Genomic DNA, 19,583 nt, shown 5'->3' on the forward strand with positions numbered 1-19,583 from the left:
GTGTGGTACGAGCACAGCTGTTCAGCTCTGTTAACTTGAATAAATATTTACAGTAGTGTTCTCTCTAGTGACCCAGGGCCTATTTGGTGTGCCTGACTGTTGTTCTAAGCTTTAGTCTTACCACCTCTCCACCTCGAAATGGGGCGTTCAGGTCTGGCCAGGCTGGAGGCAAGGCTATGAATTGTATGCTGTGGAACTGTCTTTCAGTGTCTGTGAATTTGCCTACTAGTGCCTTTAGCAGGGAGGGTGGGGTGCTCTCCCATGTTTGAAATAAAGACCTTAGTCTTTAGTTTCAATTTAACCTGCAGTTTAACATTTCACGCAGTATAATGCAGCCATAAAAAAGAATGAGATCATGTCTTTTTCAGGGACATGGATGAAGCTGGAAGCCATCCTTCTCAGCAAACTAACACAGGAACAGAAAACCAAATACCACATGTTCTCACTCATAAGTGGGAGTTGAACAATGAGAATACATGGACACAGGGAGGGGACCATCACACACCAGGGCCTGTCAGGGGGTGGGGGACAAGGGGAGGGAGGGCATTAGGACAAATACCTAATGCATGTGGGGCTTCAAACCTAGGTGACAGGTTGATAGGTGCAGCAAACCAGCATGGCACATGTATACTTATGTAACAAACCTCAGGTTCTGCACATGTATCCCAGAACTTAAAGTAAAAAAAAAAAAAAATCCACGTGGTATAACAGAAGGATCACTTTACACAGCGGTCCCTGATGTCTGATGTGGGACCAGCAACAACTTTGAGGAAGGTTTTGGTGACAATCAGCTATCTTGAGGTGGCTATTTCTAGACTGATTACTTCCTTCCCTCGCATCCTCCCTTCCTTCCTTCCTTCCTTCCTTCCTTCCTTCCTTCCTTCCTTCCTTCCTTCCTTCCTTCCTTCCTTCTGATGTAGCCAGTCTAAATTATTAAAAGATAAAAAGACTCCCTTAAGCCCTTTTGCCCCCATCGGGCTGCTTTGGATGCAGCTCCACCATTTACTGCCTTAGTGTTACCATGGGTGGGTTCCTCAGTCTCATCACATGAAAAAGAGACAATAGTAGGATGTACCATGTAGGGTTTTTCCGAGTATTAAATGAGGTAATGCCTATAAAGCACACAGTACCTGCCACAAAGAAGCCATTGAGCAATGTCAGCTAGGCAGCAATAACATTAAAGCTTTGAGCTTTGTTTCACAGGAGAAGAGGTTCAAATTAGCACTGAACCTCTTCAACAGAAAGGGCTCGTAACTTGACATAAGTGAAAACCTCTGACCTTCCTTGGAAACACTAGTTTGGATAGTGGTTATTTAACAAGTACAAACACTTGAGTTTAGGGACAAGCAGTGTACCTGATGCTAAAGCGATGGAAGGCATGGTCTTTGGCTTCAAGGTATTTATTATCTTGTTAGGAAAAGTAAAAAGCCACTGATCACTAAGCACAGTGATAGTACCGAGCAGCATTTGTCTAGTGCCCTTTGGTGTTGTTTAGTGCGGTGGGGCTGCCTATGAAAGTAGCTAGTTAGGCCCTTTTGGAAGGAGGTAAGCTTTGACAGTGCCTCCTCCCAGAGTTTTCTTCATGGGGCCCAGCTCTGACATTCTCATCACTTGTTTGGCATCTCTTTGCACCACCCCTGAAGGAGAAAAGACAAATTCCACCTTGGGGCTACAGTAGGGCACAGTGGAAGCAGGCTTCATCCACTCTCTGGTAGCATGACCTTGACCAAGTTATTTAACTTCGCAGCTTCGAATTTCTCATTTCCAAACTAAGTGCTATGGTGAGGATAGAGTCCACCCCACTGTCTGGCACATGGCAGGTTCTGTGAACATTTCCATCTCTCTCTCTTCCTTTTTTTTTTTGAGACAGAATCTTACCCTGTCACGCAGGCTGAAGTGCACTGGCACAATCTGGGCTCACTGCTACCTCCATCTCCTGGGTTCAAGCAATTCTCCTGCCTCAGCCTCCTGAGTAGCTGAGACTACAGGCGCGTGCCACCACGCCCGGCTAATTTTTGTATTTTTGGTAGAGATGGGTGTCACCATGTTGGCCAGGCTGGTCTCAAACTCCTGACCTCAAGTGATCCGCCCGCATCAGCCTCCCAAAGTGCTGGGATTACAGGCATGAGACACTGTGCCCGGGTACATCTCTTTTCTTGATTACCTTCAAAGAATAAAATGAACACTTGGATTTGGCCACTCAGTGGCCTTCCTTGTCACTAGGACTTTCCTAGCCCGTTGACAATGAGGAAAGAAGGCTTAGTAAACCAACACTACTACAACTACTGCTGCTACTGCTACTACTACTAGCTGTGAACACCAGAATAGCTCAGATTGCTTTTGAACCTGTGAGAGGGGCCAAAATGCAGGTCTTATGTGTTCCCAAGGGGCCCCTCAAATGCCACATGGGAAGTTTAGGAAAAGAGGACCAGGTATCAGTCTTTGTGCTGATGTAAAGGAAAGAGGTTGGCAGCACAGACACTTTCTCCTACCTGTCTAGCGGGAAACATCCTCACGTGCAACTGTCAGAAACGCCTGCATCCTTTCCCTGGAGGAGTTTGTCAGACCAAACAAATCTGTATCTAAGAACATGTTTTTCCAGGAAGGCAGGATCTGATATAGATGGCAGATCTAGAAACCCAAAGATCCCTTCTGCCTAGAGTTACATGGACTGTGCTTTTTCCTTAGTCCTGGCGAAGTTGCACCAGTGGGTGGGATGAGGTCAGCAATTAGAGTCAGCTCTTCCTCAGTTAGGATTGGCCTTTGGCTTGTAGGCTGTTTCCTAGGGAGGGAACCCAGCGTCAGAACTTCATCTCACCCTGTGACATGTCACTACTGACAACAAGTGTGGTCCTCTGTATGCTCTATGAGTATGCTGGGCATGCTGCTGTTGGGTCCGTCACTGTGTTATGCAGAAAAGTGACGAAGGGCTAGGCAGGTGTGTGCAGCGTGCCATTTAGCGTATCCCCTCAGGCATGCACCCAGGAGCAGTGTGGTCTGAGCTTGTGTTAATTCTAAGAAGAAATAAACTATTGATGAAACTCTAATTGTTTTTAATGGAAAATGTTCATAAGGTGAAGTTCTTATGCATGCTAAATGATTTTTTCAATTTTGTTTCTTTTAGGAGAACTATCCTATCCCTGAACCAGGCCCAAATGGTAAGTTCTTGGGAAACATGACTTATATTTTATTATTTCCTGTTGTTTCCTTTGGAGTCACATGTATATTGTTCCCTTACCTCTCTTTTCCAACTGTTTATTACTTTTGCATCCATTAAAAACCTATGCTTTTGTTAGGCTGAGAACAGAGTCTACTGCCCACAGCATGACCTGGTGGGAAGTTTATCTTGGCTGCTACATGAAATAAAAGAACAGTGATAGAATCAGAAAAATTACCGTACCAGACTGCTGACTTGTCCCAAAGAGTTTTTGATGTGAAGTATATGGACCAATGACAGAATTCTTCCTCTTTTGACCTAATGACAGTGTACCCTATCTACCAGAAGCTGCTGTTGGAGTGGCCAAGTGTCCTAACCCTAACCCAAACTTTGAAAAGGAGTGAGTCTACAGAACTTAATCTTTAGCAAAGGGAGCATCATGCCAGCTTTCCCCACTCCCCAGGAAGGCCAGTCACCAAAGTGTGGGGCAGCCCAGGACCTACTGTCCAGTGGGGGTGGGAGGTGCTGCATGGGTCCCTGTCCCCTGCCCTAATCAACCAAGCACAGAAAGTGAGTGAGCACACTGGGGCAGGGTTTCCAACACCTTTACTCCACTCCTTCTAGGCCTCTCACTTGCTAAGCCTGTGGGGCTTAGCTGACATGCTGACGCCCAAGGTGGCATCTGCAACTTCCCAGCTTTGGGTTTCTCATGTACAAACTGAGTGCTATGGTGAGGATAAAGCCCAGCCCACCGTCTGCACATGGCAGGTGCTGTGAACATTTCCATCTCTTTTTGTCTGTTGGCTCGGGCAGATCCCTGCTGACAGCTTTCTAATCCCTCCCATCCCTGGAATTCCACTTTGTCATAATCATGCAGGACCCTGAAGTGAGGCTGGGGGCAATGGTCAGAGTGTCTGTAGATACTCACCCTCCCCCTCTCACACCTAGACAGTCAGGTCCCCTTTCTGCCCTTGAGGAGTTGGGGGTGTCCTTTCCCACTTTGTCCTACCTCACACCAGAACCGCAGCTTCTGGGTGAACATCAGATCAAAGGCGGCTTTCCTGGTAGATCCACAGCTTTGCTACTGAAAGGTCAGTTGTGTTATCGACTTGTAAGTGGTAAGAATACAGACTAGATAGAATATAGCCATTCTATGGGTGCTGAGTAAGTATTGTATAGTTAGGGTTCAAGGATTTTCACCAAGATACCATGTTCAGAGAAGTGAAAGAGTTACCTCACTGTGTCCTGAAAAGTTGACCGTTGATTCCAGAAGTGGCCAAACGAGGGCTGTCTTGGACACAGAGTACAAGCTTGGCTCCTGGTAACAGCTTTTCTCCCTGAAGCAGCATTCTGCTTGCACTCTCGTCTCTTGCTACACTTGCATTGGAAGGGAAAAGAGTGCATTTCAGCGAGTGTTCTAGCAAGTCAAATCTAATCTCTCACTACCAATTGCTACTTCAAGAGAGGAAATTCTGAGATGATTTTCCTAACTCAAATGCCTTTTCCCTGCATTTGACCTGAGAATTCACCCTGCCATTTCTTACTCTTCACTAAAACTAAGGAGGAAGAAAGTTCTGAAGAGCCACCCCTGGCAGTCTGTGGCAAGTGCAGTGCATAGCAGAGATTTGGGTCTCTTTGTCTTTCTAAGGCAGAGTGTTTTTTTCAGGGAGGTATTCATAACCATCATCTGAGTCAGAGATGATGGTACTTATTGGTACTTATTTCACCAAAGGGGCTCAGTACCATCTTTATTTTAAACTTAGAAAACTGGCCAGGCGCGGTGGCTTAGGCCTGTAATCCCAGCACTTTGGGAGGCTGAGGCAGGCGGATCTCCTGAGGTCAGGAGTTCAAGGCCAGCCTGGCCAACATGGTGAAACCCCGTCTCTACTAAAACTGCAAAAATTAGCCGGGCGTGGTGGCGCATACCTGTAATCCCAGCTACTTGGGAGGCTGAGGCAGGAGAATTGGTTGAACCGGGGAGGTGGAGATTGCAGTAAGCCAAGATCCTGCCATTGCACTACAGTCTGGGCGACAGAGGGAGACTCTGTCTAAAAATAAAAAATAAATAAATAAATAAATAAATAAATAAAGGAAAGAAAACAATAGGCATGAAGAACTCAACTTGATAGTTCACAAAATGTTGCCAAGCTGAGATTCTACCAGACCTTTTCTCATAAATAGATACGAATCCACGAATCACGCGTAGCATATTAATTGTCTGGAAAGTTATCTTTTGGAAAATAGTTTGTTCTCTTAAGTGGTTGGTACATTTCATCCTACTAATGATATATTGTTTACCCAGTGTATTGGTTAGTGTTGTCCAGAGAAACAAAACCACTAAGATATATGTGTATGTATGTATGTGTGTATGTGTACAAAGGGCAGGCTGGAAATTCAGGTAAGAGTTGATGTTGCAGTCTTGAGGAGAATTCCTTCTCCTTCAGAAAACCTCAGTCTTTGCCTTTAAGACCTTCAAACTGATTGGATGAGGCTCACCCACATTATGGAGGGTAATCTACTTTACTCAAAGTCTATTGGTTTAAAAGTTAACCATGCCCAACACGTATCTTCAAACAACCAGGCACTATAGCCTAGCCAAGTGGACACATAAAATTAGCCACCACATGTGGAAGCTTGTTTGCCTTGCGAGACTTAATCAGGGTTGCTATGGAGCTTGATTTCCTCTGTGGCCTAAATTGTGTACCTGGCCTGGTAACCCAGCCCTCTACCCTGGGCAAAGGGAAATCACTAGGTCACCTCAGAGTGATAGGGGTTGTTCCCTCTCTCACTGTTTTTTTCTTCCTTTCTTTTATCAGAGGTCTTGCTGAGGATGCATTCTGTTGGAATCTGTGGCTCAGATGTCCACTACTGGGAGTATGGTCGAATTGGGAATTTTATTGTGAAAAAGCCCATGGTGCTGGGACATGAAGCTTCGGGAACAGTCGAAAAAGTGGGATCATCGGTAAAGCACCTAAAACCAGGTCAGCAAGGTCCTTCGACTTATGTGTTCATTCAACATAAATATGTGTGCATGCTTTCTTTGGGCCAGGCCCTCTGTTAAGCTCTGGGTACAGCAGGGAACAAGACAATCTTGTTCCATACTCACATGGATCTTACCTTACACAAGAAAAGAGGGACCTGCAGCAGACAGATAGTTACTTAGTCACCATGTGTTAAGGGCAGTAGAGGAGAATGCAGGGTGTGATTAGTGTATTTTACCCAGACCCTTGGTTCATTTGAGGAAGGGACAATTAATCCAACATCTGGAGCCAGGTAAGAAATAAGCCAGGTAAAGGGCTGGAGAAAACATTTGAGGCACAGGAAACCAAACTACCTTTACATGCTGTGAACCACGGCCTTGGATATAATGTTTGCTTTTTATTAGATGGCTGGGAAACCACCATTATTTTTCCTAGATTTACTAAATTCATTTTTCCAGAGGGAGGAATTCTCAGCTGTGGCAGGCTGTGTTGTTCCCTGATACCGTGAATTAAATCCAAGTTGTCTTGGCATAGTTAGCTGTTGGCTTTAACCTTCCTTTACCGGTGAGGCTGCTGTGCAGCCCGGAAATAAGGTCACGTTATTTGGGGGAAGGTGGAGGTTGACAGGAGGCCCCATCCTGTGTTAGTTATAAAGGTCTCTGAGCCCAACCACATGGAGAGGGATTGACCAGCTGTGAAGCAGTCAGGCATGTGTCTTGTTTAGGGATGTTAAGTCATTCATCATTAGTGGAAGTCAAGAAGGCTCCTGTGGTGTTATGAGGTTATTTCCTAGTGGAATGTTTATAGCTTCCAACAGCCACTGATGATTGGTTCTCACCTGTGGGACAAAGTCTCTGACTATAAATTATAACAAAGAGTGGGGTTCTGTAAATGTAAATTATAACAAGGGTTTAGTCAGTTGTCCACAATGAGCTCAGTCTTATGCCACGAGCCCTGAGGGATATAGAAAAATGAGCAGATATGATCCCTGGATGCTTAGTTCTATATGGAAACACTAGATGTCAGGCCCTTCATAAATACCAGCAGTTAGACAGCAAGCCCATAGGGTACAATTAGGTGTGGGAAAGAATAGGCTTTAGGAGTTCAAAGGGCATTTGTTGTGGGCAGAGGTGGTTAAAGAGTTCATGGAGGAGATAGGTCTTTGAGCTAGACATCTAACAGTAGTAACATTAATAAGAAGGTGGCTAATATTTATTGATTTGCTACATTAGTCTCCATGTTAAACACTTAGATGTACAATTCTTTCTTTCTTTCTTTTTCTTTTTTTTTTTTTTTTGACGGAGTCTCGCTCTGTCACCCAGGCTGGAGTGCAGTGGTGCAATCTCGCCTTGCTGCAACCTCCACCTCCTGGTTCAAGTGATTCCCGTGCCTCAGCCTCCCGAGTAGCTGGGATTACAGACATGCAGCACCATGCCTGGCTAATTTTTGTATTTTTGGTAGAGGCTGGGCTTCACCGTGTTGGCCAGGCTGGTCTTGAACTCCTGACCTCAAGTGATCTGCCCACCTTTGCCTCCCAAACTGCTGTGATTACGGGCCTGAGCCACTGCACCTGGGCTATTTATTTCATTCTTGTAACAATTCTATGAGATAGGCATTATTATCTTCATTAATTGAAGAAGAAATTGAAGCCTGGTTATTGCCCAGGGTCACTCACTAGTTGGTCTCAGAACTGGGATACCCACCCTGGTCTTTTGGACTCTAGAGCAAGTGCTCAGAACCACTGGGCTACCCAGCATCTTCATACTTGAGAAAGGTTTTATATTTGAGTTATTGAAGAGGTCAGAGCTAATATTCTAGTTAAGAGGAAGCGAATGGCTGGGTGCAGTTGCCCATGCCTGTAATCCCAGCACTTTGGGAAGCTGTGGTGGGCAGGTCACTTGAGGTCAGGGGTTTGAGACCAGCCTGGCCAATATGGTGAAACTCTGTCTAAAAATAGAAAAATTAGCCGGACATGGTGGCACACACCTATAATCCCAGCTACTTGGGAGGCTGAGGCAGGAGAATTGCCTGAACCCAGGAGGTGGAGGTTGCAGTGAGCTGAGATTGTGCCACTGCATGCCAGCTTTCCAGCCTTGGTGAGAGACAGAGCAAGACTCCATCTCAAAAAAAAAAAAAAAAAAAAAAAAAGAGGAAGTGAACAACAAAATTACAGATATGAGAGTAACACATCTGGGTACAGATAAGTCTGTGCTACTCAGAGCAGAGGTTTTGTGTTGGGGAGTTATTGGAGATGATAAACATGCATAATCTTTATAAAAGTCCCCCTTTAAAAAGCACTTGGCTGGGCATGGTGGCTTACACCTGTAATCTCAGCACTTTGGGAGGCCGAGGCAGAAAAATTGCTTGAGCTCAGGAGTTTGAGACCAGCATGAGCAACAGAGGGAGACCCTGTCTCTACAAAAAATAGAATTAGCTGGGTGTGGTAGTGTGCACCTGCATTTCCAGCTACTCAGGAGGCTGAGACAGAAGGATCACTTAAGCCCAGGAGGTTGAGGTTGCAGTGAGCCATGATTGCACCACTGCACTCCAGCTTGGGTGACAAAGCAAGACTCTATCTCAAAACAATAAAATAAAATAAAATTTAAAAAGCACTGTAAAACTGTGAAATGTCATGTTATCATAATATAATCATAATTAGAAGGTAAAACTGAATAATATGAAAACTCCACCTGATTATGGAGGATCTTGAAGGCTAGGTGGAAGAATTCATCCTTAATGACATAGGCATAATTTGCAGAAAGTTCACTGGACAGGAGAGAAAGCAGAGGGAGTCAGAGGAGATAGAAGGAAGAGACAAATATAGACATTTTATTTTTTCGAGATGAAGTCTCATTCTGTTGTCCAGGCTGGAGTGTAGTGGTGCCATCTCAGCTCACTGCAACCTCAGCCTCCCAGGTTCAAGTGATTCTTGTGCCTCAGCCTCCTGAGTAGCTGGGATTACAGGCACGCACCACCACACCTGGCTAATTTTTGTATTTTTAATAGAGAATGGGTTTCACTATGTTTGCCAAGCTGGTCTCAAACTCCTGACCTCAGGTGATCAGCCCTCCTCGGCCTCCCAGAGTGCTGGGTTTACATAGGCATAAACCACCATGCCCAGCTAAATACAGACATATTTTGGTGGTCATAAAGATTTCTGTGGGTCCTTTTCTTTCCTTAGGATACAAAATTTGGATTTAAAGTCTTTCATATGTTAACTTGGACTTAAAATTCTAATCAACTAATCTAGAAAGAAGACCACAACTCATCAAATATTTCCTAATGCGCATTTACAGAATTTAAACATATAAGTCAGCCGGGCATAATAGCTCACACCTATAATCCTAGCACTTTGGGAGGCTGATGCAGGCAGATCACTTGAGGTCAGGAGTTCAAGATCAGCCTGGTCAACATGGTGAAACCCCATCTCTACTAAAAATACAAAAATTAGCCAGACGTGGTGGCATGCATCTGTAATCCCAGCTATTCAGGAGGCTGAGGCAGGAGAATTTCTTGAACCTGGGAGGTAGAGGTTGCAGTGAGCTGAGATCATGCCATTGCACTCCAGCCTGGGCGACAGAGCAAGACTCTGTCTCAAATAAATAAATAAATAAACAAACAAACAGACATACATACATATAAGTCAATAACTCTAAGGCATGGAAGCATTCCTATTTTTTTTTAAGACTAGTCAAGTGCAGTAGTGAGAAGTGGGGAAAGAGTAGAACAAGGAGTATTATCTGTAACTGAGTATGAACAACCAATTAAGATGATGCACTACCTTCAGACCAGCCTTCACCACTTATTTTAATGAGCACTAACTATGTACCAGGACTCTACACTATTCTGTGAGTACTTTCAACACAAAAAGACTTAGGAAAAATTGTTTATTATTTCCCTGCTGAATAAAGGCCAGACCTTCCATGGCCTCAGCAGGCCTCACCAGGTTCCTAACATCCTCTTCAGGCTCCAGAGGGCCCGAACACTAGTACAGAGGTGAGCAGACAGTCAAATCTCCACAGCTTATCACTGTGTGACCACCTGAGCTTCTGTTTCCTCATCGCTAAAGCAGAGATAACACCATCTTGTTGGTTTATGGTGAGGGAAGGGAGATTTTGTGATGTGCCTTTCCTGGTACCTGGCACACAATGGGCATTTGGTAAATGGCAGGACTTGATCCCACCATTATTGGTAAACTCTATTCTGTGTAGTAGGTTTAAGCACCTCTTCCCAGTGGAGTCTATCCATCAGACCTTTCCTGAATAACCAGGTACTGAGGCAGGATAAGGCCTGTGGGTCCTTTCCTGGCTCCTGCCACATGGCTTCCTGCCTCACTGGCATTCAGCCGTGTTGGTCTCCAGCTTGTTCCTGGCTGCTAGAAGGGGAGATTTCTGCTGTTCTCTGTGGAGTTAGTGTCTGGGCTCAGGCAGGGGGTCTGCCAGGGTTTCTAGTTTGGTCTCTGATTCGCTGGTATGGGTCACTCCCCAGATTCAGACGGAGTTTAAATCCAATTGTAACTTTGATGTGTAGCAATACCTGTGATATTAAAATCCCCTGTAAATCTGCTTTCTATTTTCTGCAAACATGGAGGCCATTGCTGTATTGACAGTGTATTTGGAGTTCCCCTACACAGGGCTGGGTATCTGCATGAAGATGAACCATCTAAACCATCCCAAAACCTCAGGATAACTATTTGTCCTCAATTATTCCTACCTGTCTCCCTTTCCTTTACAACAGAAAAGTGCTACTGTCTTTAACCAACAGGTTTTACTTGTCACATTCCAGGGGAAATTTTTGCCAATAAGTAATGCCCTTCTAGATACTAATGACATTTGTGTCCCATGGTTTGTTTTCCCCCAATCCACAAATTCTATGTTTAGCAATAAAAATTTGTCTAGCACAACAGTAGACACTATGGAAAAATAAATATGGAGCAGAAGACTGACTAATCCTGAGGCATTCCCATCCTTGATGAGGAGGCAAAATAGTCATGAAAAACAACTAGAGATGGACATGGTGGCTTACACCTGTAATCGCAGCACTTTGGGAGGCCAAGGCAGGAGGATTGCTTGAGCCTGGGGGTTTGAGACTAGCCTGGGGATTTGAGACTAACCTGGGCATCATGGAAAAACCCTGTCTCTGCAAAAACAAAAACAAAAATCACCCAGGCATGGTGGCATGCACCTATAGTCCCAGCGACTTGTAAAGCAGTCTAGGGTCAACATAGCAATCTCACTGTCTAAGGTGTTATCCAGAGTTCTTTGTCTCATGACCAGGAAAATTAAGGAGTGTGGACACCAAGAGTGAGGTTGGAACGAAAGTTTAATAAGTGAAAGAAGAAAGCTCTCAGCAGCAGCGGGGGTGGAGGGAGGGGGCAGCAAAAGAGGGTTGCTGTTTCACAGTTGAATACAAAGGTTTTTATAAGAAACTTCCCTTATCTATGTAGCTGCCTACGTAACTTCCCTTATCTGTGTAGCTGCGTGTGTAGCTTCCCTTATCTGTGCAGCTGTGAGCATGTCTTAGGCAAGCACAGGGTGCAGCTTCTCTTTTCTCAGCAACTGCGAGTATGTTTTAGGCAAGCCCCTGCCCACCCCCTTGCAAGTTCCCATGGAGCCCACCATGTACATGCCTGAAAAGGGGAGGAAACTTTTTCCTGGGAGCCCACTGATTACCCGAAGAACAGAGGCATTTCTATGTTTGGCCTTGCTTCCTTATCTGTGCCTGCAGCTTGATTTTTCCAGGCTGCTCTTTTGTTGGAAAGCATTTCACCAAGGACCTGCCCTAACTGTGTGCCTAACTGGTTTTTTTCTTTCTCGTTCCTCATCTCCCACCTCAGGAGTGGAGACTCTAACTGCTGTTAGGGAGGTAGGGCGATAATCTCTCTGGCTACTTTCTGCTGGAGGTGGGGGTTGTGTGGGGGACAGCAGCCAGGGTTCCTTCTGGGGCTTATCTAAGGGTCCTCAGAAGAAAGGTGTGTCTATGTGTGGTTCCATTTGCATCACCATTTGGAGTTTGATAACCTCTAGGCGAGAAAAAACAATGTGGGTTATTAGAAGACATATATCAAAACAAGACAAGGGGGTAAGAAAAGCTCAAAAATCCCAAAGCTGACAATGTGCCCAGATAACTGGCAGCTATAGTTATGCCTGCCAAGATTTGGGTGCATGGGACTTGGCTTTGGTTAGCTCCCTTGGTCTTATTTTCCCAAACAAGGAAACCTCTGAGTTATGGGCTGCCCATTCATTCCCATCATCTGGCAGGATTTGCAGGATAATTGCTCAGAATTAAAATATTGATCCAGATTTTTTATATTACTGATCTCTTTTGTTTCTTCTGAGTTGCAGCCAGAGATCGCTGATTGGTTCACAGGAATAAGCATGGTTAGTCTAAAATGTAGGCTAAGTTTTTAAGTAAAAACTTAAAACTAATGAGATTAGAATTTAATGGACAAATGTATGATAAGTTTTGAAGCATATTTTTCTCTTGCCAGTCCTCACTTTTGTCAAAAACAAATCACAGTAAGACTGAGTTGTTTGCAAAATAAACTTTAGTCTTATACTTGGCCTGATTATTTGCATAAAGTACAGCAAGAATAATTATTTCTACATAGGCTTTTAAAATTGGCTTTGATGAAACTCTGTTTTGCGAGGAACTTCAGATAGGACTTTTCTTTTTTTTTGAGACGGAGTCTCGCACTCTCGCCCAGGCTGGAGTGCAGTGGCGCCATCTGGCTCACTGCAAGCTCTGCCTCCTGGGTTCATGCCATTCTCCTGCCTCAGCCTCCTGAGTAGCTGGGACTACAGGCACCCACCACCAGCCCTGGCTAATTTTTTGTATTTTTAGTAGAGATGGGGTTTCACCGTGTTAGCCAGGATGGTCTCGATCTCCTGACCTTGTGATCCACCTGCCTTAGCCTCCCAAAGTGCTGGGATTACACGCATGAGCCACCGCGCCTGGCCCTACTTTTCAAAGCTGAGCCCAGCCATGGATTTGTATACTCAAATACCTATGAGTTGGGCAAATTCCTCTCTTCTTGAGGTCAAAAGAACATGGAGCCTGTTAGAAAGTGACATTCTTTACTCACCACAGTTTAGGAATCCTGTACAGGGACTGTGTAGACAAGATATGAAGCCAGTTTTCCCAAGGGGCATTTATTGGCTCTGCAACTCCAGCTTGATTTTTTAAAGGGAAGCATACTGTTCCAGTCAAAGCCTTGGTAAAACAACTAGTTTCTCCAGTTGTGTCCTGTTGTAAAAGAAGATGGATTCTTACTGCGCTGATGGAAACAACTATATTGCCATAAATCAAGAATACTCACAAATAGTTTCCAAAGTCTAGAGAAACTGGCAGAAAGAAACAAACATACTCCAAATTTTGTTCACAGGAGTATACATTACTGAATTGTTAAAAGCTGTAGATAGCTCAAAAGAAAAATTCCCTTGACTCTGAAAAACAAGGATTAGCAATGTTTTAAGCAGAAAGTTAAAAAGGATTAGTTCAGTCTTCTATTAGTTCAGTCCATTCCATTAATACTTGCTCTGCATGATATTCATGAACATTTCAGTTCTTCATGAGTCCTATACATTTTTCCTCTATTCCAATGTCACAATCTCCAAGGTTATCAGAAACCTGCATTTGAGAGCACCTATCAAAGTCCTATAGCTGATTATAAACTATCTTTTGAAGATGATTAAAACAAGACAACAATTGTCTGTGAATGACAAAATATCCAGGGTAGCTACAGTTAAAAACACAATTGACAAAGAAATTTGGTTATCTCTGTGGTTTACAATAATTTACACAATAACCTTAATTATGATTGATAGCAAATACTCAGACATTAGAATTTTAGATATTCTATACAATTTTGGAACATAATGTTATTCACTAAAATATAACCTAAAGAAGATTAAACATGACTTTGGCAATCCCACGTAACTAAACATGTCAAATACTCCTGTTTACCTCTCTTTTGGATGCTCCAGGGGCCCGCTATAATACCCAAAAGCTTGGGATTAGAAAAGACAACCTTGAAACTGAAGTTTGATTTGGGGGAGCCTGTTAAATATGTTAGCGGTTCAAAGCACTTGATATTATGAAGTACAATTACGGATTACTATAAACTATTTATTTTAGCCAAAGTCATGACCAAAACATTCTAAAACAAGGCAAAAACCTTCACTCATTAAGAGGGAGGACTTAGCTTCCAAACAATCTGTCTTTAATGTTACATGAAAATCCTGTGCAAGAGGAGAAAGCCAAATTTCACCCTTGCGTTAGTCTACTATTAATGTCAACCCCAACTTTTTTAATGAAACCTTAGAGATAATTCTATCAAATCTTACCCAGTTTGATCATGAGGTGAGATTCTTGTAAACCTTTTATAACTCTCTACAAATTTTTGTTAAGGAGCAGATCAGTGCCTCGAGAAAGCCTTGTTGTGCTTTTATTTCAATGCTCAATTTATGTAAAAAACATAGAATACCCTTCTGAATTTAGTCAATATATTCAGACACAGAATTTCCTTTGCAAGATTAATTTTTATAATGCTTCCACAACTTGCTCAAACCTTCAGCTTTATCTTAACCTAATTCAAAACAATCCTTTATTTCTAGGCAAAATTTACATTTCCATGTCTTCTTATAATCTTTTACCAAAACACATTTTACTTTCCTTACACACCTTGCATGTAAATCTATTTTCAGTAGTCTCTAATTTCCTCTGGGAGGAAAGTGGCTGGGCTTAGGCAATTAAGTGGACTGTAGATCCTTCCAGCAGCAAAGCCTGATATGTGAGGAAGCAATTGTCTGTTAGCCAGAGACTCCAATGTAGCTGGATGCAGAACAGGTGCCTCAAACATAAGGATTGAATGGCTGTTCTCCCTGTGATGGGGATGGGGACAGCACTGAGGCTAAAAGTTGTCTCTCAAGGGTGGCTTCCTCTTGACTATTGAAGGTGGAATTTTGCTGTTTACAGATGGGGCATGGAGCCTGGTCCCTAATAGAGGGATGTAGGAGGGAGAGAAATTGGGGAACTAGAGGCCTTGGACAAAGGGCCAATAGTGCCCTCCACAGAGAAAAATCCCATTTCACTAGGTGGCATGGTAGGGACTGAAATGTTAGGTAAAAACTCTGACTCTAAATTTTTTCCAGGCAGAGGTTAGAAAGAGGTTTGGGGTTTGATAGTCTACCCCCACAGTATGCCTCTTAGCAAAAGAAAATTGTCTCATAGAGTAACTGTTCAAATTCATTGGGCAGACAGAGTCTCAGCCTTGCCACTGCTGCCCCCACCACCCAGAGACTGCTGAGCCCCTGTCTATCCACCGCCACCACCCACTTCAGACACTGAACATCCAGTCATGGATAAAAATGAGCTGGTTCAGAAGGCCAAACTGGCTGAGCAGGCTGAGCGATATGATAACATGGCAGCCTGCATGAAGTCTGTAACTGAGCAAGGAGCTGAATTATCCAATGAGGAGAGGAATCTTCTCTCAGTTGCTTATAAAAATGTTGTAGGTCATCTTGGGGGGTCATCTCAAGTATTGAACAAAAGACAGAAGGTGCTGAGATAGAACAGCAGTTGGCTCGAGAATACAGAGAGAAAATTGAGACAGAGCTAAGAGATACTGTCTCTTTTGGAAAAGTTCTTGATCCCTAGTGCTTCACAAGCAGAGAGCAAAGTCTTCTATTTGAAAATGAAAGGCAAGTACTACTGTTACTTGCCTGAGGTTGCCGCTGATGATGACAAGTAAGGGATTGTCAATCAGTCACAACAAGCATACCAAGAAGCCTTTGAAACCAGCAAAAAGGAAATACATCCAACACATCCTATCAGACTGGGTCTGGCCCTTAACTTCTCTGTGTTCTCTTATGAGATTCTGAACTCCCCAGAGAAAGCCTGCTGTCTTCCAAAGACAGCTTTTGATGGAGCCATTGCTGAACTTGATACATTAAGGGAAGAGTCATACAAAGACAAAACACTAATAATGCAATTACTGAGAGACAACTTGACGTTGTGGACATCAGATACCTAAGGAGACAAAGCTGAAGCAGGAGAAGGAGGGGAAAATTAACCAGACTTCCAACTTTTTTCTGCCTCATTCTAAAATTTACACAGTAGACCATTTGTCATCCATGCTGTCCCACAAATAGTTTTTGTTTACAATTTATGACAGGCTTATGTTACTTCTATTTGAATTTCTTTCTTCTTTAAATTTTTTATTTTATTTTATTATTATTATACTTTAAGTTTTAGGGTACATGTGCACAATGTGCAGGTTAGTTACATATGTATACATGTGCCATGCTGGTGTGCTGCACCCATTAACTCATCATTTAGCATTAGGTATATCTCCTAATGCTATCCCTCCCCCATCCCCCCACCCCACCACAGTCCCCAGAGTGTGATGTTCCCCTTCCTGTGTCCATGTGTTCTCATTGTTCAATTCCCATCTATGAGTGAGAACATGCGGTGTTTGGTTTTTTGTCCTTGCGATAGTTTACCGAGAATGATGATTTCCAATTTCATCCATGTCCCTACAAAGGACATGAACTCATCATTTTTTATGGCTGCATAGTATTCCATGGTGTATATCTGCCACATTTTCTTAATCCAGTCTATCATTGTTGGACATTTGGGTTGGTTCCAAGTCTTTGCTATTGTGAATAGTGCTGCAATAAACATACGTGTGCATGTCTCTTTATAGCAGCATGATTTATAGTCTTTTGGGTATATACCCAGTAATGGGATGGCTAGGTCAAATGGTATTTCTAGTTCTAGATCCCTGAGGAATTGCCACACTGACTTCCACAGTGGTTGAACTAGTTTACAGTCCCACCAACAGTGTAAAAGTGTTCCTATTTCAACACATTCTCTCCAGCACCTGTTGTTTCCTGACTTTTTAATGATTGCCATTCTAACTGGTGTGAGATGGTATCTCATTGTGGTTTTGATTTGCATTTCTCTGATGGCCAGTGATGATGAGCATCTTTTCATGTGTTTTTTGGCTGCATAAATGTCTTCTTTTGAGAAGTGTCTGTTCATGTCCTTCGCCCACTTTTTGATGGGGTTGTTTGTCTTTTTCTTGTAAATTTGTTTGAGTTCATTGTAGATGCTGGATATTAGCCCTTTGTCAGACGAGTAGGTTGTGAAAATTTTCTCCCATTTTGTAGGTTGCCTGTTCACTCTGATGGTAGTTTCTTTTGCTGTGCAGAAGCTCTTTAGTTTAATTAGATCCCATTTGTCAATTTTGGCTTCTGTTGCCATTGCTTTTGGTGTTTTAGACATGAAGTCCTTGCCTATGCCTATGTCCTGAATGGTAATGCCTAGGTTTTCTTCTAGGGTTTTTATGGTTTTAGGTCTAACGTTTAAGTCTTTAATCCATCTTGAATTGATTTTTGTATAAGGTGTAAGGAAGGGATCCAGTTTCAGCTTTCTACATATGGCTAGCCAGTTTTCCCAGCACCATTTATTAAATAGGGAATCCTTTCCCCATTGTTTGTTTTTCTCAGGTTTGTCAAAGATCAGATAGTTGTAGATATGTGGCATTATTTCTGAGGGCTCTGTTCTGTTCCATTGATCTCTATCTCTGTTTTGGTACCAGTACCATGCTGTTTTGGTTACTGTAGCCTTGTAGTATAGTTTGAAGTCAGGTAGCGTGATGCCTCCAGCTTTGTTCTTTTGGCTTAGGATTGACTTGGCGATGCGGGCTCTTTTTTGGTTCCATATGAACTTTAAAATAGTTTTTTCCAATTCTGTAAAGAAAGTCATTGGTAGCTTGATGGGGATGGCATTGAATCTATAAATTACCTTGGGCAGTGCTAGCAAGACTAATAAGGAAAAAAAGAGAAGAATCAAATAGATGCAATAAAAAATGATAAAGGGGATATCACCACCGATCCCACAGAAATACAAACTACCATCAGAGAATATTACAAACACCTCTATGCAAATAAACTAGAAAATCTAGAAGAAATGGATAAATTCCTCGACACATACACTCTCCCAAGACTAAACCAGGAAGAAGTTGAATCTCTGAATAGACCAATAACAGGCTCTGAAATTGTGGCAATAATCAATAGCTTACCAACCAAAAAGAGTCCAGGACCAGATGGATTCAGAGCTGAATTCTACCAGAGGTACAAGGAGGAACTGGTACCATTCCTTCTGAAACTATTCCAATCAACAGAAAAAGAGGGAATCCTCCCTAACTCATTTTATGAGGCCAGCATCATCCTGATACCAAAGCCGGGCAGAGACACAACCAAAAAGGAGAATTTTAGACCAATATCCTTGATGAACATTGATGCAAAAATCCTCAATAAAATACTGGCAAACCAAATCCAGCAGCACATCAAAAACTTATCCACCATGATCAAGTGGGCTTCATCCCTGGGATGCAAGGCTGGTTCAATATACGCAAATCAATAAATGTAATCCAGCATATAAACAGAACCAAAGACAAAAACCACGTGATTATCTCAATAGATGCAGAAAAGGCCTTTGACAAAATTCAACAACTCTTCATGCTAAAAACTCTCAATAAATTAGGTATTGATGGGACGTATCTCAAAATAATAAGAGCTATCTATGACAAACCCACAGCCAATATCATACTGAATGGGCAAAAACTGGAAGCATTCCCTTTGAAAACTGGCACAAGACAGGGATGCCCTCTCTCACCACTCCTATTCAACATAGTGTTGGAAGTTCTGGCCAGGGCAATTAGGCAGGAGAAGGAAATAAAGGGTATTCAGTTAGGAAAAGAGGAAGTCAAATTGTCCCTGTTTGCAGATGACATGATTGTATATCTAGAAAATCCCATTGTCTCAGCCCAAAATCTCCTTAAGCTGATAAGCAACTTCAGCAAAGTCTCAGGATACAAAATCAATGTACAAAAATCACAAGCATTCTTATACACCAATAACAGACAGAGAGCCAAATCATGAGTGAACTCCCATTCACAATTGCTTCAAAGAGAATAAAATATCTAGGAATCCAACTTACAAGGGACGTGAAGGACCTCTTCAAGGAGAACTACAAACCACTGCTCAATGAAATAAAAGAGGATACAAAGCAATGGAAGAACATTCCATGCTCATGGGTAGGAAGAATCAATATCGTGAAAATGGCCATACTGCCCCAGGTAACTTATAGATTCTATTTGAATTTCTATATTTCCCATGTGGTTTTTATGTTTAATAGTAGGGGAGTAGAGCCAGTTAACATTTAGGGAGTTACCTGTTTTCATTTTAAGTGGCCATTATGGGGATGTGGAATTTTTATACAAGTTATAAATGTTTGGCATAGTACTTTTGGTACATTGTGGCTTCACAGGGCCAGTGTTCCATATCTAAGCAAAGAAACTTCCATATTTAAGCAAAGAAAACTGCCTATGTATTGGTTTGTCCTGCTGGGGAGTAAAAGGGATCATTGGTTCCAGTCAC

General features: G+C 42.8%; 1 protein-coding gene and 1 pseudogene across 2 annotated transcripts in view; both read left to right on the forward strand.

The window, feature by feature from the left end:
• Positions 1 to 19,583, forward strand: part of SORD (sorbitol dehydrogenase) — a 53,991-nt gene that overhangs the window by 14,089 nt on the left and 20,319 nt on the right. For both annotated transcript variants that reach the window (NR_034039.2, NM_003104.6), the window contains exons 2-3: positions 3,125 to 3,158; positions 5,974 to 6,138. Coding sequence is in view for 1 of the 2 variants with exons in the window: in NM_003104.6 (NP_003095.2) it covers positions 3,125 to 3,158; positions 5,974 to 6,138 (199 nt within the window). In the remaining variant the exon portion in view is untranslated. The remainder of the gene's footprint in view (positions 1 to 3,124; positions 3,159 to 5,973; positions 6,139 to 19,583) is intronic.
• Positions 15,485 to 16,374, forward strand: LOC100422669 (tyrosine 3-monooxygenase/tryptophan 5-monooxygenase activation protein zeta pseudogene; annotated as a pseudogene).

The sequence above is a fragment of the Homo sapiens genome, chromosome 15 (assembly GCF_000001405.40).
Source record: "Homo sapiens chromosome 15, GRCh38.p14 Primary Assembly".
Lineage (NCBI taxonomy): Eukaryota > Metazoa > Chordata > Mammalia > Primates > Hominidae > Homo > Homo sapiens.